Source organism: Homo sapiens, chromosome 10 (genome assembly GCF_000001405.40).
Source record: "Homo sapiens chromosome 10, GRCh38.p14 Primary Assembly".
Lineage (NCBI taxonomy): Eukaryota > Metazoa > Chordata > Mammalia > Primates > Hominidae > Homo > Homo sapiens.
The window spans coordinates 102,437,429-102,458,715 of NC_000010.11; the positions used below are offsets into that span (position 1 = coordinate 102,437,429).

The 21,287-nt window shown below is 49.3% G+C and overlaps 1 protein-coding gene and 1 long non-coding RNA gene across 3 annotated transcripts, besides 8 other annotated features; one reads left to right on the forward strand and one right to left on the reverse strand.

Annotated features, from left to right (window-relative positions):
* Positions 1-12,388: 12,388 nt before the first annotated feature.
* Positions 12,389-18,865, forward strand: C10orf95-AS1 (C10orf95 antisense RNA 1). Of its 2 annotated transcripts, NR_038937.1 has the most exons (5): positions 12,389-12,594; positions 12,759-12,932; positions 13,971-14,127; positions 14,662-14,759; positions 17,909-18,865. It is a non-coding gene; the product is annotated as a C10orf95 antisense RNA 1 (long non-coding RNA). The 2 variants fall into 2 exon arrangements; NR_038938.1 differs by lacking the exons at positions 13,971-14,127; positions 14,662-14,759 and having other exon boundaries at positions 12,759-12,902.
* C10orf95 (chromosome 10 open reading frame 95) lies at positions 12,409-14,115 on the reverse strand. Its single transcript, NM_001363580.1, has 2 exons — positions 13,958-14,115; positions 12,409-13,719 (listed from the first exon to the last, which is right to left on the reverse strand). Exon 2 carries the CDS (start codon positions 13,663-13,665, stop codon positions 13,024-13,026), a length of 642 nt encoding a protein of 213 aa, NP_001350509.1. The 5' UTR covers positions 13,666-13,719; positions 13,958-14,115; the 3' UTR covers positions 12,409-13,023.
* Positions 12,950-13,029: a silencer, noted in NCBI's record as "silent region_2760". NCBI's record gives its function as "represses an Ori minimal core promoter by ATAC-STARR-seq in GM12878 lymphoblastoid cells {active_cell/tissue: GM12878}" and the evidence as "EXISTENCE:reporter gene assay evidence [ECO:0000049][PMID:35858748]".
* Positions 13,070-13,559: a silencer, noted in NCBI's record as "silent region_2761". NCBI's record gives its function as "represses an Ori minimal core promoter by ATAC-STARR-seq in GM12878 lymphoblastoid cells {active_cell/tissue: GM12878}" and the evidence as "EXISTENCE:reporter gene assay evidence [ECO:0000049][PMID:35858748]".
* Positions 14,082-14,764: an enhancer, noted in NCBI's record as "H3K27ac-H3K4me1 hESC enhancer chr10:104211267-104211949 (GRCh37/hg19 assembly coordinates)". NCBI's record gives its function as "activates a minimal SCP1, AML or CMV promoter by ChIP-STARR-seq in primed H9 embryonic stem cells {active_cell/tissue: H9 hESC(primed)}" and the evidence as "EXISTENCE:reporter gene assay evidence [ECO:0000049][PMID:30033119]".
* Positions 16,953-17,541: an enhancer, noted in NCBI's record as "OCT4-NANOG-H3K27ac hESC enhancer chr10:104214138-104214726 (GRCh37/hg19 assembly coordinates)". NCBI's record gives its function as "activates a minimal SCP1, AML or CMV promoter by ChIP-STARR-seq in naive H9 embryonic stem cells {active_cell/tissue: H9 hESC(naive)}" and the evidence as "EXISTENCE:reporter gene assay evidence [ECO:0000049][PMID:30033119]".
* Positions 17,542-18,129: an enhancer, noted in NCBI's record as "OCT4-NANOG-H3K27ac hESC enhancer chr10:104214727-104215314 (GRCh37/hg19 assembly coordinates)". NCBI's record gives its function as "activates a minimal SCP1, AML or CMV promoter by ChIP-STARR-seq in naive and primed H9 embryonic stem cells {active_cell/tissue: H9 hESC(naive and primed)}" and the evidence as "EXISTENCE:reporter gene assay evidence [ECO:0000049][PMID:30033119]".
* Positions 18,130-18,719: an enhancer, noted in NCBI's record as "NANOG-H3K27ac hESC enhancer chr10:104215315-104215904 (GRCh37/hg19 assembly coordinates)". NCBI's record gives its function as "activates a minimal SCP1, AML or CMV promoter by ChIP-STARR-seq in naive H9 embryonic stem cells {active_cell/tissue: H9 hESC(naive)}" and the evidence as "EXISTENCE:reporter gene assay evidence [ECO:0000049][PMID:30033119]".
* Positions 18,720-19,307: an enhancer, noted in NCBI's record as "NANOG-H3K27ac hESC enhancer chr10:104215905-104216492 (GRCh37/hg19 assembly coordinates)". NCBI's record gives its function as "activates a minimal SCP1, AML or CMV promoter by ChIP-STARR-seq in naive H9 embryonic stem cells {active_cell/tissue: H9 hESC(naive)}" and the evidence as "EXISTENCE:reporter gene assay evidence [ECO:0000049][PMID:30033119]".
* Positions 19,308-19,896: an enhancer, noted in NCBI's record as "H3K27ac-H3K4me1 hESC enhancer chr10:104216493-104217081 (GRCh37/hg19 assembly coordinates)". NCBI's record gives its function as "activates a minimal SCP1, AML or CMV promoter by ChIP-STARR-seq in naive H9 embryonic stem cells {active_cell/tissue: H9 hESC(naive)}" and the evidence as "EXISTENCE:reporter gene assay evidence [ECO:0000049][PMID:30033119]".

The following is a 21,287-nucleotide window of genomic DNA, read 5'->3' on the forward strand; positions in this document are numbered from 1 at the left end:
GATTACAGGCGTGAGCCACTGTGCCCAGCCAGATGCCTTTTCCAAGAAGCCTCTCTCAACTCCCCAACAGTGCATATGATCTCTTACAGATCCTCCACACCCCTCTTCATGAGCCCTGTAGGGTCTAGTCCAGCGTCCAGCATATAGTAGCTGTTCAATAAATATTCCTTGCATTTTTGTTGAGTTTGTCTCCTGTATGAAGAGACAGTTTGACCTACAGGTTAAGACTGCGATCAGTTAGCCAGGCATGGTGATGCGTGCCTATAGTCTCAGTTACTCAGGAGGCTGAGATGGGAGGATGGCTTGAGCCTGAGAGGCAGAGGTGGCAGTGAGCCAAGATCATACCACTGCACTCCAGCCTGGGCCACAGAGCAAGACCCTGTCTCTCTCTCAAAAAGAAAAAAAAAAAAAAAAAAAGAAAAGAAAAGAAAAAAAAAAAGATAAGAAAATTACAATCAAATTTCCCAGGGACATTCTTGGGGTATAGCCTTGGGTAAGTTGTTAACATCAATGGCCCTCAGTTTTCTCATCTGCAAATGGGAATGATAATTGCATCCATGGGATGTAATTATATCCACATCAAGGTTTTGTGAAGATTAAATTAAATGTGTTGATAGTTTCTGTTCAGGGTTTTAACGTGGTGCCTGGCATAGAGCAAGTTCTCATAAGTATGTAATGTTATGATTCCTATTTTATTCCCTTGAGTAGAATGTGAGCCAGACAAAGGTAAGGTCATTGCGGGGTGGAGGAGGGCTTGAAATTGGTCAGTCAGGGCTTGTTGACTGAGGGGGTCCTGACAAAATGGATTGGGCGACAGGTAAGGCTGGGGCAGGGCCAGGAGGAGGAGGCCATCAGGTCAGGGCTTGGAGGCCCAGGCCCCGCTGGGAGCTAAGAGTCCTGGATTCCTGCCTACAGTTTGAGCTCCGGTGAAGCACTCCTTCTTGATGGCTCTGGTTTCCCAGCATAATGTAAATTGAAGAGATCGAACCAGATGAATGGCAAGGTCCCTGGCAGCCCAGATGTTTTGTGAGTTCTGAGCTTCTAAGTTAATTTGAAAAAAAAAAAGATCAAACAAGGAAGCATCTGTGCTTCCTCTAGGGCTCACATCAACAGGGCCTGGAGTGAAATGGGATGCTGGACTCAGTGAGTGGTAGCACCTCCTTCAAAATGCCTGCAGTCAGGGGCCCTCCTCCCTCACTGGGGCTGGGGCTAGGGGTAAACTGTGTGCAGTCCAGGGCCACTTCCAGAGAATGCCCCAGGGAGGAATGGCTAAGAGAATGCAGATCCTCAGAGGTGGGGGACATTGAGAGACTTCAAGACCCAAGAGACTTCAAGACCCAAGACTTCTAGGCCGGGCACAGTGGCTCACGCCTGTAATCCCAGTACTTTGGGAGGCCGAGGCGGGAGGATCAGAGGATCACGAGGTCAGGAGATCGAGACCATCCTGCCTAACACGGTGAAACCCCGTCTCTACTAAAAATACAAAAAATTAGCCGGGTGCGGTGGCGGGCGCCTGTAGTCCCAGCTACTTAGGAGGCTGATGCAGGAGAATGGCCTGAACCCGGGAGGCAGAGTTTGCGGTGAGCCGAGATCGCGCCACTGCACTCCAGCCTGGGCAACAGAGCCAGACTCCGTCTCAAAAAAAAAAAAAAAAAAAGACCCAAGACTTCTGGACCCAAGAGGACAGAGAGGGAAGTGAATACACAACACACCTTATGCTGGAGTGGGACTCATCATTTATTTGAAGCCTGCATTGTTTCAAAAAAGGATTTGAGAATGCTCACCAGCATGCACACAATTCTCCAACATTAAAAAGTAAAATCAGGCTGGGTGTGGTGGCTCACTCCTCTAATCTCAGCAATTTGGGAGGCCCAGGTGGGTGGATCACCTGAAGTCAGGAGTTCGAGACCAGCCAAGCCCACATGGCGAAACCCCATCTCTACTAAAAATACAAATACAAAAATTAGCCAGGCATAGTGGCAGGTGCCTGTAATCCCAGCTACCTGGGAGGCTGAGGCAAGAGAATCACTTGTACCTGGGAGGCAGAGTTGCAGTGAGCCACGATCATGCCACTGCACTCCAGCCTGGGCAACAGAATGAGACTACGTCTCAAAAAATAAAATAAAATAAAAATAAAAGTAGGCTGGGCGCAGTGGCTCACACCTGTAATCCCAGCACTTTGGGAGGCCGAGGTGGGAGGATCACGAGGTCAGGAGATTGAGACCACCCTGGCTAACATGGTGAAACCCCATCTCTACTAAAAAAATACAAAAAATTAGCCAGGCATGGTGGCGGGCGCCTGTAGTCCCAGCTACTCTGAGGCTAAGGCAGGAGAATGGCGTGAACCCGGGAGGCGGAGCTTGCAGTGAGCCGAGATCGCGCCACTGCACTCCAGCCTGGGGGACAGAGCAAGACTCCGTCTCAAAAAATAAAAAATTAAAAAAAAAAGTAAAATCAAAGCCAGGTGCGGCCGGGCGCAGTGGCTCATGCCTGTAATCCCTGCACTTTGGGAGGCCGAAGCGGGTGGATCACGAGGTCAGGAGATCAAGACCATCCTGGCTAACATGGTGAAACCCCGTCTCTACTAAAAATACAAAAAATTATCCGGGCACGGTGGCGGGCGCCTGTAGTCCCAGATACTCGGGAGGCTGAGGCAAGAGAATGGCTTGAACCTGGGAGGCGGGGCTTGCAGTGAGCCGAGATCACGCCACAGCACTCCAGCCTGGGCGACAGAGCGAGACTCTGTCTCAAAAAAAAAAAAAAAAAAAGCCAGGTGCATTGGCGAGGGCTTGTATTCCCAGCTATTCAGGAGCCTGAGGCAGAAGGATCACTTGAGCCCAAGAGTGTGAGGCTGCAGGGAGCAGTAATTGCACCAGTGCACTCGAGCCTGGGCGACAGAGCAAGATCTGTCTCAAAACAAATAAATAAAAATAAATAAATTATTTTGAAAAAGTAAATACTGTCTAATGTTAGCACTATGTAAAAAAGAGGTTTAAAAGATAAGCTCGGCCGGGCGTGGTGGCTCATGCCTGTAATCCCAGCACTTTGGGAGGCTGAGGCGGGTGGGTCACGAGGTCAGGAGATCAAGACCATCCTGGCCAACACGGTGAAACCCTGTCTCTACTAAAAACACAAAAATTAGCCGGGCGTGGTGGCGGGCGCCTGTAGTCCCAGCTACTCAGAAGGCTGAGGCAGGAGAATTGCTTGAACCCAGGAGGTGGAGGTTGCAGTGAGCTGAGATGGCGCCAGTGCACTCCAGCCTGGGTGACAGAGAGAGACTCTGTCTCAAAAAAAAAAAAAAAAAAAAAAGCTCACTCGTGCAGTGGCTCACGCCTGTAATCCCAACACTTTGGGAGATCAAAGCAAGTGGATCACTTGAGTCCAGGAGTTCCTTTGAGACCAACCTGGGCAACGTGGTGAAACCCTGTCTCTACTAAAAATATAAAAACTTAGCTGGGTGTAGTGGCACACGCCTATAGTCCCAGTTACTAGGGAAGCTGAGGAGGGAGGATTGATTGAGCCCAAAAGGTCGAGGCTGCAGTGAGCAATGATTCTGCCACTGCACTCCAGCCCTGGGCAACAGAGTGAGACCCTGTCTCAAGGGGATTTAAAAAAAAAAGCTCATTGGTTGGGTCCCAGTACAATGACTCATACCTGTTATGCCAGTGCTTTAGGAGGCTGAAGTGGGAGGATCCTTTAAGACCACCTGGCAACATCTCCTAGACCCTGTCTCTATAAAAAATTAAAAACAAGGCTGGGCACAGTGGCTCACGCCTGTAATCCCAGCACTTTGGGAGGCCGAGGTGGGCAGATCACGAGGTCAGGAGATCGAGACCATCCTGGCTAACACAGTAAAACCCCGTCTCTACTAAAAATACAAAAAATGAGCCGGGCGTGATGGCGGCCTGTAGTCCCAGCTACTCTGGAGGCTGAGGCAGGAGAATGGCGTGAACCCAGGAGGCAGAGCTTTCAGTGAGCCAAGATTGTGCCACTGCACTCCAGCCTGGGCGACAGAGCAAGACTCCATCTCAAAAAAAAAAAAAAAGAAAGAAAGAAAGAAAAGAAAGGGCTGGGCATGATCTTATCCCCATGGCTGAGCATAATCTATAGTTCTTATTCAAATCTTGCTACTTGTCCCAGTAATGTCCTTCGTAACAGGTTTTATTTTGGTTCAGGATCCAATCCAGGATTATGCATTGCATTTAGTTTTCATGCCTTTTTAGCCTCCTTTGAATCTGAGACATTTCTCAAGTTCCCATAGTCTTTTTTTGAGACAGGGTCTCACTTTGTCACTCAGGCTGGAGTGCAGTGGCATGATCACAGCTCACTGCTGCCTGTACCTGCCAGGCTCAAGCGATCCTTCCACCTCAGCCTCACGAGTAGTTGGGACCACAGGTGCACATCACCATGCCCGGCTAATTTTTGTATTTTTTGTAGAGATGAGGTTTTTCTATGTGTCCCAGGCTGTCCTTGAACTCTGGGGTTCAAGCGATACACCCACCTAGGCCTCCTAAAGTGATGAAATTACAGGTTTGAGCCACCGCGCTGGGCTGGTGTCATAGTCTTTTATGACATTGCCATTTTTGAGCAATACAGACAAGTGGAATCATCTCTCCGTTTAGGTTTATCTGAGGTTTCCTCATGACTGCATTACTGCTGAACTGATGTTGTGTTTTTTAACATATCAGGAAGCTTATGATGTTGATTTGTCCCCTCTAATGATAATGTCAACTTGTTTCATCCTGCTGAACCCACAGTTGGAATCACCCCAAAAGCCTTAGCAGGGGAGTTTCCACAAGGGAGTGCCCCAGACCTTTTCCAGGTGGGGCCAGTTGGGATTCCAAGGGAAGTAGCACTTAGCACTAAATAAACAACAGGGTGATCAGTCCAAAGCATTTATTTATTCATTTAGACAGGGTCTCGCTTGCTCTGTTGCCCAGACTGGAGTGCAGTCACACAATCATAGCTTACTGCAGCCTCAATCTCTTGGGCTCAAGCGATCCTCCCACCTCAGTCTCCCAAGTAGCTGGGACTACAGGCAGACACCCCCACACCCAGCTAATTTCTTTTTTTTTTTTTTTTTTTAGTAGAGAGAGGTCTTGCTATGTTGCCCAGGCTGGTCTCAAACTACTGAGCTCATGCCATCCTCCTTCCTCAGCCTCCCAAAGTGCTAGGATCACAGATGTGAGCTGCCATGGTCAGCCAGTCCAAAGCATTTATTAGGGGAACCTTACGTACAGAGTGCTACAGCAATCCTCACGACAGACAGTAACAGAAAAGCGGTGATCCCCCTAGGTATATCCAAGCAAAGTGGTCAGGGGATAGAGTTTATGTGAGCCTTTAAGGCATTTGGCTCAGGGCTGGGGCTTGTTTCTTTCTGTTTTGGTAACAACCTAGATAATTTTATCAGTGCCAGGAAATGTTCAAGACCCCAGTGTGGGTTCAAGCCTTCAGGGTAAAACATGTTGGGTCACAGAGGGATCAAAAGGACTCTGTGATCTTTGGGTCAAGACACAGAAATAGGGGACAGACACTGGGGGACCCTACAGCTTTGATAACTTAGTTAAGGTGATATACACCAGTTTTCCCTATTATACGACTAGCTTACTCTTTTTCGCTTTGTAATTAATAAATATCTTATTGGAACATATTTTGAAACTAAACTAAATAAATATCCTGTTTTTATTCAAATTTGTACTCATTAGTTTTATTATCCATGAGTGACCTGAATCAATTTAGTATCACCTGAATCAATTATTACTATGATGGCTGGGATGGGAATGGCAATTTTCTTTTCTTTCCTTTCTTTTTTTTTTTTTGAGAAGAAGTTTCGCTCTTGTTGCCCAGGCTGGAGCGCAATGGCACGATCTCAGCAGCTCACTGCAACCTCTGCCTCCCGGGTTCCAGCAATGCTCCTGCCTCAGCCTCCCGAGTAGCTGGGATTACAGGCGCCCGCCACCACGCCCGCCTAATTTTTGTATATTTAGTAGAGACGGGGTTTCACCATGTTGACCAGGCTGTCTTGAACTTCTGACCTCAGGTGAACTGCCCACCTCGGCCTCCCAAAGTGCTGGGATTACAGGCGTGAGCCATGGCGCCCAGCCTTTTTTTCTTTTCTTTTCTTTATTTTTTTTCCCCGAGATGGAGTTTCACTCTTGTTGCCCAGGCTGGAGTGCAATGGCTGCGATCTCAGCTCACCACAATCTCCGCCTCCTGGGTTCAAGCAATTCTTCTGCCTCAGCCTCCCGAGTAGCTGGGATTACAGGCATGTGCCACCATGCCTGGCTAATTTTGTACTGTTAATAGAGACGGGGTTTCTCCATGTTGGTCAGGCTGGTCTCCAACTCCCGACCTCAGGTGATCGATCTGCCCGCCTCGGCCTCCCAAAGTGCTGGGATTACAGGCGTGAGCCACCGCACTGGGAATGGCAATTTTCTAATTTTATTATTCCTTCTACTGTAAGGATTAGTTTTTCCTTCATATTTATTTATTTAGTGATTATTAGTATGGACTTATGGATTCTTATTTTTTTCAATGAGTTATAATGAATTACTGTCATTATTTGTTTTGATGCTTAAATTGTCCCTAATTTGGCCAGTGGAATTCCCTTGAAGCTGGCTTCTTTGTACTTTTGACTTTTTTTTTTTGAGATGGAGTCTCACTCTGTCGCCCAGGCTGGAGTGCAGTGGCGCCATCTCGGCTCACTGCAAGCTCCACCTCCCAGGTTCACGCCATTTTCCTGCCTCAGCCTACCGAGTAGCTGGGACTACAGGCGCCCGCCACCAAGCCCGGCTAATTTTTTGTATTTTTAGTAGAGACGGGGTTTCACCGTGTTAGCCAGGATGGTCTTGATCTCCTGACCTCGTGATCCGCCCGCCTCCGCCTCCCAAAGTGCTGGGATTACAGGCGTGAGCCACCGCGCCCAGCTGTACTTTTGACATTTTTGAGCAGTCCTTTATTTTCTGGAATAAGTTGTTCTAGGCTCCTCATGTACCTTCACTGCCCCAGACCTGGAATCAGCCATTTTCCCAAGGACCCTCATTCCTTTTAGTTGGGAATGGAATTTAGAACTAAAGACCTGAAGCGGCCGGGTGCGGTGGCTCACACCTGTAATCCTAGCACTTTGGGAGGCCGAGGAGGGCCAATCACGAGGTCAGGAGTTCGAGACCAGACTGGCCAACATGGTGAAACCCAGTCTCTACTAAAAATCCAAAAATTAGTGGTGGTGGGCGCCTGTAATCCCAGCTACTCAGGAGGCTGAGGCAGGAGAATCGCTTGAACCTGCGAGGCGGAGGTTGCAGTGAGCTGCTGAGATTGCGCCATTGCACTCCAGCCCGGGCGACAGAGTGAGACTCTGTCCCCCCACAAAACAAAACAAAACAAAACAAAAAAAGAACTAAAGACCTGGATTTTGGTCATTCTTATTGCTACTAGCTGTCATTGTTCAGTGATTCAGTTTCCATCTCAAAGACTTTACATTCGACAATTTAATACTTGTATATGTGAACAAAGATGCATATTCAAGGACATTTATTTTCTCATCACCCTTACTACTTCCAAATAAAACGAAGTCATGTCTTCTATTTCCTGTATTACAGTCATGTATTGCTTAATGATGGGGATACATTCTGAGAAGTGCATCATTAGGCCATTTTGTCATTGTCTGAACATTCTAGAGTGTACTTACACAAATCTAGATGGTAAAGCCTACTACACACCTAGGCCATATGGTAGAGCCTATTGCTCCTAGGCTACAAACCTGTACAGTTTGAGGCTGTACTGAATACTGAAGACAATTGAACACAATGGTAAGTGTTTGTGTATCTAAACAGAAAAGTTACAGTAAGAATATAGCATTATAATCTTAAGGGACCACCATCATATATGCGCTCCGTCGTCAACTGAACCGTCATTATGGGGTGCATGACTGTACTTCAAAGCCTAACTGCCCCCCATTTCCATGATGACCCCTCTATAGTCTCTTTTCCACATAGCAGCCAGAATAATAATAATTTTTAAATCTGATAACATTACTCCTATGCTCATAACCCTCCACCCACTAATAATAAAATCCAGCCGGGCACTGTGGCTTGCTCCTGTAATCCCAGCACTTTGGGAGGCCGAGGTGGGTGGATCACAAGGTCAGGAGTTCGAGACCAGCCTGACCAACATGGTGAAACCCCATCTCTACTAAAAATACAAAAAATTAGCCGGCCATAGTGGTGCGTGCCTGTAATCCCAGCTATAGCTACTCAGGAGGCTGAGGCAGGAGAATCACTTGAATCAAAGAGGCGGAGATTGCAGTGAGCAGAGATCACACCACTGCACTCCAGCCCAGCCTGGGCGACAGAGTGAGACTCCGTCTCAAAAAAAAAAAAAAGAATAAAATCCAAAATTCTCAATACAGCTTCATTGCACCACAGGTTCTGCTTAATCTCTTATCACATGTGCTTGCTCACAGGACAAGGACACTCATCCACAGGGTGGTCATACCTGCTTTTCTTCCCCAGGTACTCAAATGACTTGCAAAGGTCTTTATTATGACTATACTCAAGTCACCTCTTGGGAGAAGCCTCCTCAATCCCATTTAAAACACCACCCATCAATTATCACTATTTGACGCTATATCACATATTCACCTATTTGCTTGTCAGTCTCTCCTCCTCTGTTACACCTCTAATGTAAGATCCATGAGGGCAGAGACTTGTTTGGTTTTCTGCTGTAGCCCCAGTACCTGGAATTCTGACTGGCATATTTGGGCTCTCAATGCCTGTTAAGTGAATGAAGATAACTTTCACTCCTTAGGGCTTCTGCACTCACCATACTCTCTGCCTGGCTTCCCCCTCACCCTTCTCTGCATGGTTAACTTTGCATTCTTTAGATCTCAGTTTAAATGTCACCTGCTCAGAGAAGCCATCTTATTCTAAAGTAAGTTCTGACACTTATTTTCTAAATCAAAAATAAAAATAGACCGGATGTGATGGCTCACACCTGTAATCTCACCACTTTGGGAGTTTGAGGTGGATGGATTACCTGAGGTCAGCACTTTGAGACCAGCTTGGCCAACATGGTGAAACACTGTCTCTACTAAAAATACAAAAATTAGCTGGGCATGGTGGCCCACACCCATAATCTCAGCTACTTTGGAGGCTGCGGCAGGAGAATTGCTTGAACCCGGGAGGTGGAGGTTGCAATGAACTGAGATTGCCCCACTGCACTCAAGCCTGGGTGATGGAGCGAGACTCCGTCTCAAAAAAATAAAATAAAATAAAATAAAATAAGAAATAAAAATAAAAATAAAGCCTGGGTGGGGTGGCTCACGCCTGTAATCCCAGCACTTTGGGAGGCTGAGGCGGGTGGATCACTTGAGGTCAGCAGTTCAAGACCAGCTTGACCAACATGGTGAAACACTGTCTCCACTAAAAATACAAAAAAATTAGCCGGGCATGGTGGCGTGTGCCTCTAATCCCAGCTATTTGGGAGAAGAATTGCTTGGACCCAGGAGGCAGAGGTTGCAGTGAGCTGAGATGGCACCATTGCACTCCAGCAGCCTGGGTGACAAGAGCGAAACTCCGTCTAAAATACATACATACATACATATATATATATACACACACACACATATATATATACACACATATATATATATATATTTTTTTTTGTGCATAGAAAAATAGTAGATTGGACCTCAATGATCATTAAGGGGTGAGGGAAATCAGAAAAGAATTTAACTTCCTATATCACATATTTCTGTATTGCAAACTATGTTTAAATCAAACACTGGCCAGGTGCAGTGGCTCACGCCTGTAATCCCAGCACTCTAGGAGGCCGAGGCAGGCAGATCACGCGGTCAGGAGTTCAAGACCAGCCTGACCAATATGGTGAAACCCCATCTCTACTAAAAAAAAAAAAAATACAGGCTGGGCGTGGTGGCTCATGCCTGTAATCCCAGCACTTTGGGAGGCTGAGGTGGGTGGATCACGGGGTCAGGAGTTCAAGACCAGCCTGGCCAAGATGGTGAAACCCTGTCCATACTAAAAATACAAAAAAATTTGCCAGGCATGGTGGCGTGCTCCTGTAATCCCAGCTACTTGGGAGGCTGAGGCAGAGAATCCCAGGAGGCAGAGGTTGCAGTGAGTCAAGATCATGCCACTGCACTCCAGCCTGGGAGACAGAGCCAGACTCCACCTCAAAAAAAGAAAAAAAAAATTAGCCGGGTGTGGTGGCGCATGCCTATAGTCCCACCTGCTTGGGAGGCTGAGGCAGGAGAATCGCTGGAACCCAGGAGGCAGAGGTTGCAGTGAGCCAAGATTGTGCCACTGCACTCCAGCCTGGGTGACAGACTGAGACTCCATCTCAAAACGAACAAACAAACAAACAAACACTAACATTTTAGCACTTAACACATGCCAGGCACCGTGGTAAATGCTTTCTGTGCACTGTAGAAACACAGATGTCATGGCATCTTCTCAATAACCTCATGAGATAGGTTTTTGTATCATCATCCCCATTTGGGATGGGGAAACTGTTTCATGGACATTAATTTGCCCAAGGTCACACAGCAGACCCATCACACTATGCCACCTCACCTTCTTGTGTTTTATAATTTTTTACAAAGGAAAAATAAGGTGAAACTAGGGATAACAGAGTTCAGGATGCAGGTTTTATATAAAAGACACTAAGCAGGCCGGGCACGGTGGCCATGCCTGTGATCCCAGCACTTAATGAGGCCAAGGCGGGCAGATCACTTGAGGCCAGGAGTTTGACACCAGCCTGGCCATCATGGGAAAACCCCATCTCTACTAAAAATACAAAAATTAGCTGGGCGTAGTGGCACACACCTATAATCCCAGCTACTTGGAAGGCTGAGGCAGGAGAAGCGCTTGAACCAGGAGGTGGAGGTTGCAGCTGCAGTGAGCTGAGATCATGCCACTACACTGCAGCCTGGACAACAGAGTGAGACTCTGTTTCAAAAAAAAAAAAAAAAAAAGACACAAAGCAAATTTGGCTCTGAGCTCCTTGGAAACCAGGACCAAAAGAAAAATATGATCAGTAATGAGATTCGTAGCGCTTAAAAGACAAAAGCAAACCACTGATCAGGAGAAACACCTTTTCCAAGGGCTGAGGTTTGAGACAACTTCTCCAAGAAGCTCACAAATACAGCAGTGCCCAATCAGCTGGCCTACAGCTTCAATAACTCACCTGTGTATACCCAGGTAACTATTGGTCAGTTACAAATGGAAGTTCAGTAAAAGAAATTTCTACAGCTGGGCCTCAAATCTGGCTAGATCCTAGTTAAAATTGGCTATGTGGCCTAACATTCCAGAAAACTCCTAGAATATTGCAAACCTCAGCCTATTAAGAATTAACGATTATTAGCAAGAATTGGGAGACAAGAAGATACATTCATCTTTTTTTTTTTTTTTTTTTTTTGAGACGGAGTCTCGCTCTGTCGCCCAGGCTGGAGTGCAGTGGGGCCATCTCGGCTCACTGCAAACTCCGCCTCCCGGGTTCACGCCATTCTCCTGCCTCAGCCTCCCGAGTAGCTGGGACTACAGGCGCCCACCACCTCGCCCGGCTAATTCTTTGTATTTTTAGTAGAGACGGGGTTTCACCGTGTTATCCAGGATGGTCTGGATCTCCTGACCTCGTGATCCGCCCACCTTGGCCTCCCAAAGTGCTGGGATTACAGGCATGAGCCACCGCGCCGGGCGGAGACATTCATCTTAACTTCCAATTAGGCCGGGCCGAGACATTCATCTTAACTTCCAATTAGGCTGGGTTACTTTTACGCCTCTTTTACTGATGAAGAAACTGAGAGTCAGAAAGCCTTAAGTTACACAGGTAGAAAATGTCAGAGCCAGCCCTAAACTCAGGTCTCAGACATCCCTCTCCTAGTGAAGCCTTCCACACTTCAAAAATAGAGCTTATGCCCTCAGCATCTCGGAGGGTGGTGGGCCAAAGGACCAAGGAGAGTTAGAAGGTGCTGGCCTGCACACTTGGAGGGAGATGGTGAAGAGGGCAGCTGGGCCCAGCGATCAGACACATGCTTTCTCCAGAGGGCCAGTTCAACTTCACGCCCCTCCACCCTACCTTCCTGTACCCCAGGGTGGGCGGTAAGACTCCCATTAAACAGATAAACAGATGGAGAAACACCACCCCAAAACATAACAATGATCTCGCAGTGTATACTTGACTTCGCTCATTTATTTATTGTTTTTTTTTTTGTTTGTTTTTGTTTTTGAGACAGGGTTTCAGTCACCCAGGCTGGAGTGCAGTGGTGCGTTCGCGGCTCCTTGCAGCCCCGCCCTCTCGGGCTCAGGTGATCCTCCCATCTCCGCCTCCCGAGTAGGTGGGACTACAGTAGTGTATCAGCACACCCGGCTATTTTTTTTTTTTTTTTTTTTTGTAGAGACAGGGTTTCGCCATGTTGCCTAGGCTGGTCTCCAACCTGGTCTCCTGGGCTCAAGCGATCCGCCCGCCTCGGCCTCCCACAGTGCTGGGATTCCAGGCGTGAGCTACCGCGCCCGGCCTATTTACTTTTCTTACTAAGCTGGGGATCACCGTCGCCCTCGGCTTGGCAGGAAGGCGGGGGTAGGGGAGCGGTGGGAAAGGGGGGTGGGCGACGACTCTGATAGAGGGAAAAGAGGAAGGGAAAGTTGGGGCTTACTGCAGGGCAAGCTCCTTAGGAGAAGGTGGGGAGGAGGAAGGAGGGAGGTCCAGGCCCTTCTTCCATCCCACGTCCTCCACTTCCCAAGGTGCAAGAAGAAAAGAGGTACAGAACACCCAGAGGTGCCCTCGATTCCGTCTTGCACTTGCCCTTCTCCCACCGTCCAGCAATAAAGCGAGAGAAACAAGTGCAGGAAACTGGCCGGCAGTCATGGGAGAAGCCAAAAAGACAGGTGAGCAGCGCGTCCGCCTCCCGCGCACAGGTGAGGGCTCACTTCTGCCTGTCGGCGGCGGCACACACAGGAAAGAGCCAAGCGCGTGCACGCGGGCCCGCCCCTAGGCCTTGCGGCGGCTTCAGCTCAGGCCCTTGCTCTTCCTGGGGCGGCCGCGCTCCGCGGCTTCCCGGGCTGGGCTGCTGTCGCCGCTGTCGGGCCGGCGCCGCACGCGCCACTCCACGCGGTGGTCGGGCTCGAGCACGCGCGGCGTCGCCTGCAGCAGGAACTGGCCGCGGCGCTGGGTGACGCGCACGTCGGCGCGGGGGTAGGTGCCGTACGCGCGCCGCAGCTCCCGGCGCACGAAGTCCGGTAGCTGCAGAGGGGGGCCCCGCGCGCGCTCCACGCGGCCCCAGCGCAGCTCGGTTTGCAGGCTCCCGCCCTCCGGCCACGGCGCCCAGCTCTCGGCCACCGCCGCGGGCGCCTGCAGCGACAGTCCCGAGATGCCGGCGGCGGCGCAGGGCCGGCGCAGGGTCGTGGCGTAGGCCGGAGGGCAGGCCCACCAGGGCGGCGCGGCCTCGGGTGGCGCGGCGGGGCCGTAGAAGCGGTGGTATTCCCGTGGGGCCGCCCACTCGCCCGCATGCAGGCTCCCGGGCCGGCTGCGGAAGCTGTGGGCCTGGACTGGGGGTAGCAGCAGAGGGGCGGCCAGGTAGGTGCAGGTGAGCAGCTGCGGCGGCGGCGGCCAGACGCCCTGTTTGGGCGGCGGCCAGCTGTACACATACATGGTCGGCCCCCCAGGCGGCTGCTGTTCTTACTGGGGGCTCCTGCGGATCCAGACCTGCGGCGGAGGAAGGGATATGTAGACAGACTTTCTACTTAACCGCCTCCTGTCCCTGTGGGCCGGTTCCCCGGGACGCCGGTTCATGGCTTTGGGGGAATTCATCCCAAATCGAACATTCAGCTCCCCGCCTAGCCTCTTGTCCCAAGGTCGGGCAGAGCCTCAGGCTCCCAGCAGACAATAAGGAGCCTTTTCAAGCCCTCCGCCGGGATGCTCTTCCCAGTGACTCCCCACTCACTTGTCTCCTTCAGCCTTGGGGAGCCGGCGGGATCCAGAGCGGGGCTCCTCTCCGCACTTTGTAGCTGCGTTGCTCCGCTCCATGCCCTGCCTCAGCCACTCCTCCTGGTTACCAGGCAAAAGGAAACACCTTGAGCTGGCCAGGAGCTACCAGCGTCTGTCTACACCTGGGTGAGCCGTACTGGTCGTAGTGGCCCCACCCTACAAGGATGCCCTTCCTACAGTATTACTGATGGCTGTCTAATCCGGTTAGCTCCCAGTCACTACACCCCAGCCTCCCAGCGCCTGCAGGTGGATTGGGTTATCCTCACATTTGAGTGAAACTCCTGCACACCAGACACTGAATCGAGTTGTCTGGGAGCATCTAACTGCAAGTTATGTCGATCCGAGGAAGGGGGGTACTGATATTACCCCTGCTTTCCATAGCAAAAAGCTGCTTGCCTCACAGTTGGTGTCCAGTGTATTCAGTGACTGGAGCTTATGTAGGTTAAATAACTCATCCCAACTCACACAGCTGGCTATAGTAAGGGCAAAATTCAACCCCCAGTCTGTCTCAAGACTCAGGCTCACAATGTTGGTCTTATTGCCCACCTGTGCAGGAGCTTCTCGCAGACTGTCTCGAAGTCCTCCCACTCTAGAATGTTACATAAGCGCTTTAATTTTTTTTTTTTTTTTTTTGAGATGGGGTCTTGCTCTGTTGTCTAGGCTGGAGTGCAGCGGCATGATCTCGGCACACTGCAGCCACCGTCTTCCAGGTTCAAGCGATTCTCCCACCTCAGCCTCCCGAGGAGCTGGGATTACAGGTGCACCACCACCTCCTGCTAATTTTTGTAGTTTTAGTAGAGACGGGGTTTTCACTATGTTGGCCAGGCTGGTCCCGAACTCCTGACCTCAGGTGATCCACCCTCCTTGGCTTCCCAAAGTGCTGATTTTACAGGCGTGAGCCATCGCGCCCGGCTGCTTTAAATTCTTTTCTTCCTTTTTTTTTTTTTTTTTTTTGAGACAGAATCTTGCTCTGTCGCCCAGGCTGGAGTGCGGTGGCACGATCTTGGCTTACTGCAACCTCTGCCTCCCAGCTTCAAGCGATTCTTCTGCCTCAGCCTCCCAAGTAGGTGGGACTACAGGCGTGCCCCACCACACCTGGCTAATTTTTGTATTTTTTAGTAGAAATGGCGTTTCACCATATTGGCCAGACTGGTCTTGAACTCCCAACCCCGTGATCCGCCCACCTTGGCCTCCCAAAGTTTTGGGATTACAAGGATGAGCTACTGCGCCCGGCCTACTTTAAATTCTTAATAGCTATGTGAAGTGCATAGTGATGTCATGCTCTTTTAGTAGATAAGGAACCAGAGGCTCAGAGAAGTTAGGCCACTGTCCCAGGTTCACACAGCCTGTAAGTACCACAGTGGAATTTGAACCCAGTCCAACTGATGTCAAAGGCCAGAAGCCATTTGAGTGAAGGCAGGAAGATTGCTTCATCCAGATGGGGTGAGCCCTGTCTGAGTTCCAGTCCCTTCTGGTGTGGGTCACAACCCCTGCACCTCTTCCTTCTCCAGTGGGGAGAGTGGTAGTTATGGATGATTAAAACTGAAACCGTCTCCCAGCTGCAGGGCTGCCATGTTGCCACACTTTCCTTCCCCATCTCCTGTTGACTGAAGCAGTATCACCAGCAGCCCTGACAGAAAGGTTCTTCTGGGTTCTCAGTATCCCTCAAAACTCAGCTACCCTCTGGTGGTGGCCACCATTTGGTGACTCACCCTGGTGATGTCATGCTATTCGTGACTGAGCCACTGCTCCAAGTCTTAATTCGGGCCAGTCCTTTTGAAGGCAGGTGCTGGGGCTGGGCTGTGGATGGAAAAAAGGGGCCTGGTTAGGGTTTCATTTGGACTCTAACACTGTCATAGAAACCCAGATTCAGGCTGGTGAACCTGATGCACAGCTAAGGCCAAACAGTGGGAGATAGAGAAAGGTTTATTTGATTTGGCCAAAGTGAGAAGGCGGGAGAGCAAATCTCTCAAATCCCTATTAACAGAAAAAAAGCAGCAGGGTGGCTTACACCTGTAATCCTAGCACTTTTGGAGGCTGAGGCAGGTGGACTGCTTGAGCTCAGGAGTTCGAGATCAGCCTGGGCAACATGGTGAAACACCGGCTCTACAAAAAAAAAAAAAAAAAAAAACCAGGCATGGTGGCATGTGCCTGTAGTTCCAGTTACTTGGGGCGCTGAGGCAGAATGATCACTTGAGCCCAGGAGGTCAAGCCTGCAGTGAGCTGTGTTCATACCACTGCACTACAGCCTGGGTGGCAGACTGAGAGCCTGTCTCAAAAAGCAGCAGGGAGTTTTTAATGTGACTAAGGAGTGACGGAGGGGGCATTTCAGGGAACCCAGGGTAAAAGTCTGTGTTTCTTCAGTCTCAGATAACCCCTTGAGCCACCAGACTTCTGGGCATCAGCAGCTGGTCACAACGTCCTTCAAGGCATTCATTCCTGCAATTTTTTTTTTTTGAGACGGAGTTTTGCTCTTTTTGTCCAGGCTGGAGTGCAATGGCGGGGATCTTGGCTCACTGCAACCTCCGCCTCCCGGGTTCAAGCCATTCTCCTATCTCAGCCTCCCAAGTAGCTGGGATTACAGGCATGCGCCACCATGGCCAGCTAATTTTTTGTATTTTTAGTAGAGACGGAGTTTCACCATATTGGTCAGCTGGTCTTGAACTCCAGACCTCGGGTGATTCACCCACCTCGGCCTCCCAAAGTGCTGGGATTACAGGCATGAGCCACTGTGCCTGGCCTGCAATTTTTTTTCATGACCACAAAGTTACCTCTTCCTGCTTGACCAAGAAACAGCACATCAGCAGTTTATATTGTGGGAACAAGGAATATTGGGCAAAAAGTGAGTGGTTAGCACGTGCAAGCAAGCATCGGCCTGATCAGAATTTTTTTTCTTTTTTTTTTTCTTTTTGACAAGGTCTCATTCTGTCACCCAGGCTGGAGTGTGAAGGGGTGGGTTGCCCCTCCACACCTGTGGGTTTTTCTCGTTAGGTGGAACGAGAGACTTGGAAAAGAAAGAGACACAGAGACAAAGTATAGAGAAAGAAAAAAGGGGGCCCATGGGACCGGCGTTCAGCACACGGAGGATCCCCCCAGCCTCTGAGTTCCCTTAGTATTTATTGATCATTATTGGGTGTTTCTCGGAGAGGGGGATGTGGCAGGGTCATAGGATAATAGTGGAGAGAAGGTCAGCAGGTAAACAGTGAACAAAGGTCTCTGCATCATAAGGTAAAGAATTAAGTGCTGTGCTTTAGATATGTATACACATAAACATCCCAATGCCTTGAAGAGCAGTATTGCTGCCCGCATGTCCCACCTCCAGCCCTAAGGCGGTTTTCCCCTATCTCAGCAGATGGAATATACAATCGGGTTTTACACCGAGACGTTCCATTGCCCAGGGATGAGCAGGAGACAGATGCCTTCCTCTTGTCTGAACTGCAACGAGGCATTCCTTCCTCTTTTACTAATCCTCCTCAGCACAGACCCTTTACGGGTGTCGGGCTGGGGGACGGTCAGGTCTTTCCCTTCCCACGAGGCCAAATCTCAGGCTATCACATAGGGAGAAACCTTGGACAATACCTGGCTTTCCTAGGCAGAGGTCCCTGCGGCCTTCCGCAGTGTTTTTTGTCCCTGGGTACTTGAGATTAGGGAGTGGTGATGACTCTTAACAAGCATGCTGCCTTCAAGCATTTGTTTAACAAAGCACACCTTGCACAGCCCTTAAGCCATTTAACCCTGAGTTGACACAGCACATGTCTCAGGGAGCACAGGGTTGGGGGTAGGGTTACAGATTAACAGCATCTTAAGGCAGAAGAATTTTTCTTACAGAACAAAATGGAGTCTCCTATGTCTACTTTTTTCTACACAGACACAGTAACAATCTGATCTCTCTTTCTTTTCCCCACAGGAGTTCAGTGGCATGACCAGGGCTCACTGCAACCTTGATCTGGGCTCAAGTGATCCTCCTACCTCAGCTTCCTGAGTAGCTAGGACCACAGGTGTGCACCAACCACACCCGACTAATTTTTGTAGAGATGAGATCCCACTATGTTACCCAGGCTGGTCTTGAACTCCTGGGCTCAGGTGATCATCCTGCCTTGGCTTCCCAAAGTACTGGGATTATAGGCTTGAGCCACCGTGCCTGGCCTGTGATCAGAATTCTCATTTTTTTAGTCACTAAAAATGCTGGGGGGCACTCCATTCTCCATTATGTGATTAGTTCACATTGCATGCTTGTATCAAAACATCATATATACCCCACAAATATATACAAAAAACTTTAAAATTTTAAGTATTAATTGCTCAGGAAAAAATTAAAATGCTGGGGTGCTGAAATCTCAAGGGCCCCATTACAAAACTCCTTAGGAACCTCGCCCTCTCTCTGCTGTAAGGACTGGTTCCAGAATGAGAGAATTTAAAAGACATTCCCCCCCCAAAATGTTCATAATGTCACCCCGGAAACCTGCGAATATGTTATATTACATGACCAGGGAGAAGTAAGGTTGCAGATGGCAGTAAGGTTGCTAATGGGCTGACCTTAAGATAAGGAGATGATCCTGGATTATCTGGGTGGACCCAATGTAATCACAAGGGTCCTTAACTGTGGAATAGTGAGGTGGCTGAGTCAGAGGCAGAGTGATGCAATGACTGAAAGACTTAACCAGCCATCACCGGCTTTGAATACGGAAGACGGTCATGAGCCAGGGAATGCAGGCAGGCTCTGGGAGCTGAAAAAAGCAAGAAAATGGATTCTCCCCTGGAGCCTCCAGAAGGGATGCGGTCCTGCCAACCCCTTGTCAGTGAGCCATTTCAGATTTCTGACTTCCAGGACTGTAAGAAAATAAACTTGTCTTGTTTTCAGCCACCAAGTTTGTGGTGATTTGTTACAACATCAGTAGGAAACTAATACACCTCCCTGCTCCTGTTTATAACTTCGTCCCTGTCCTAAAATCCCAGCACCTGGGAGTATTCACGGCTATCCATGGACTGACCACACCCCAGCCTGGAGTTCAGTAGTGGACCCATGGCACTGGCCAGGTTTTCCATCTCTTCTGGGTGGAGAGTGGGGAGCAAGCAAGACGAAGCTCAAGTGGAGCCTGGGAAGGAAATTTTCAGGCAAAATGAGAAAAATAATGGCCAAGCTGTGAGTTTCTCAGTATTTGTTCACCCTGATTCCAGTGCCAGTCCCCAGTATTTTGAAGTCCCACACCTTATCTATTCTCAGGAAAGTAGTTCTGGTGGAGTTGAATCTACTGTATCCTTAGGTTTGGGTGATTTAGGGCTAAGCCTTTCAGCACAGCCATCCCTCTGGCCATAGTGATTGACTTGGGCTAGCCCTTGACATGATATGGGCCAATGCAAGTCAAGCCTAGGACTTTATTTTCTTGTTGGGTGGAGGGGATTTTCTGCTTTTCCCAGGACAGAAATCAGAAAGGGTCCTGGACTTAACTTACACAGGCCAGTAAATTCCTTCTTTATTTAAGCTAGTTTAAATGGTCTATTGCTTCCACCAATGATACACCCCAGGATATTTCCTAACCGTCCCCCCCCCCGCCAGCACTTTGTTATGAATTATGAAAAAAAATTTTTTTTTAGACGAGTCTCTTTCACCCAGGCTGGAGAGCAGTGGTGTGGTCATAGCTGGGCTCAAGCAATCCTCCCACCTTAGCCTCCTGAGTAGTTGGAACTACAGGTGTGCCTCACCACATTCCACATAATTTTTAAAAATTTTTTATTTTATTACTACTTTTTGAGACAGAGTCTCACTCTGTTGCCCAGGCTGGAGTGCAGTGGCGCGATCTCGGCTCACTGCAACCCCCCGGGTTCAAGCGATTCCCCTGCCTCAGCCTCCCGAGTTGCTGGGACTATAGGCGTGTGCCACCGTGCTCGGCTAATTTTTTGTATTTTAGTAGAGACGGGATTTCACCATGTTGGCCAGGATGGTCTCGATATCCTGACCTTGTGATCCGTCCACCTTGGCCTCCTAAAGTGCTGGGATTACAGTTGTGAGCCACTGCACCCGGCCTGATTTTTTTATTTTTTGAAATTTTTTATAGAGATGGAGTCTCACTATGTTGCCCAGGCTGGTCTCCACCTCCTGGGCTCAAGCGATCCTCATGCCTCAGACTCCCAAGGTGCTAGGATTACAGATGTGAGCCACTGCATCTGGCCATGAAAATTTTCAGTATATAGCAACCTGAGAAGCTTTTGCTCAGGGAAGCTTGCGATCGGAAACTCACTTGAGGGCAAAATGGAGGACAGATTAGAGAGCGTGGGGGTGGAAGCTAGTCATGGAGGAGGTTCTCGTGTTAGCTTATGAAAGCTGAGAACCAAACAGGAGCAAGGGATGGAAAAGACAGATGGGAGTAGGATTCACCTGGACTTGATCCAAGATGGTGGTTTTGATGAAGTGCGTAGGATGGAGGGTGGATGCACATGTTTCCGCCTTGGCCACCTCAATGGACAGTTAAGGCAGTCCTGGAGGTAGAAAATGCTGGAGGGAGATTGGAAGTTTAAGGAATGGTGAATTCGGATGGGCCATTCTGGATATTCTCTTCAGGTTGGACATGGGAGGTGTGGAAGTAGTCATGAAGGAAAAGGTACTAGGTGAAATTACCGTAACAGCTGCCACCCTGGGCTTGTCTCCATCTGGTCCCTATCACACTATTGACATCTTGGCTGCCAGCTTGTTTGGACCCCACTCAACGCCTCTTGCAGGTAGCTATCTTGTTTTTTTTATTTTTTGAGACAGAGTCTTGCTCTGTCAACAGGCTGGAGTGCAGTGGCGCGATCTTGGCTCACTGCAACCTCCGCCTCCCGGGTTCAAGCGATTCTCCTGCCTCAGCCTCCTAAGTAGCTGGGATTACAGGCATCCATCACCGGGCCTGGCTAATTTTTTGTGTGTTTTTTAGTAGAGATGGGGTTTCACCATATTGGCCAGACTGGTTTCAAACTCCTTACCTCAGGTGATCCGCCCACCTCGGCCTCCCAAAGTTCTGGGATTACAGGCGTGAGCCACCGCACCTGGCCAGCAATCTTGTTTTTGAAGTCCCCTTTACCTCACAGCCTGTGGCCTGGCATGGATTAAAAGTTTGAGTGAGTATATGAGTATTCAAGATGGAAACTTGGGACACCCTCCCTTTTCCTTTAGAGGCCCTGGGAGAAAGTGCCGCAGTGAAGGGGACTGAGGAGGAATTATTAGGTAGGAAGAGAACATGGCAGAAACTAGATCAGAGAGGTGGGAAGTAAAGGGAGGAGAGAATTTCAAAGACAGAGAGTGCACAATC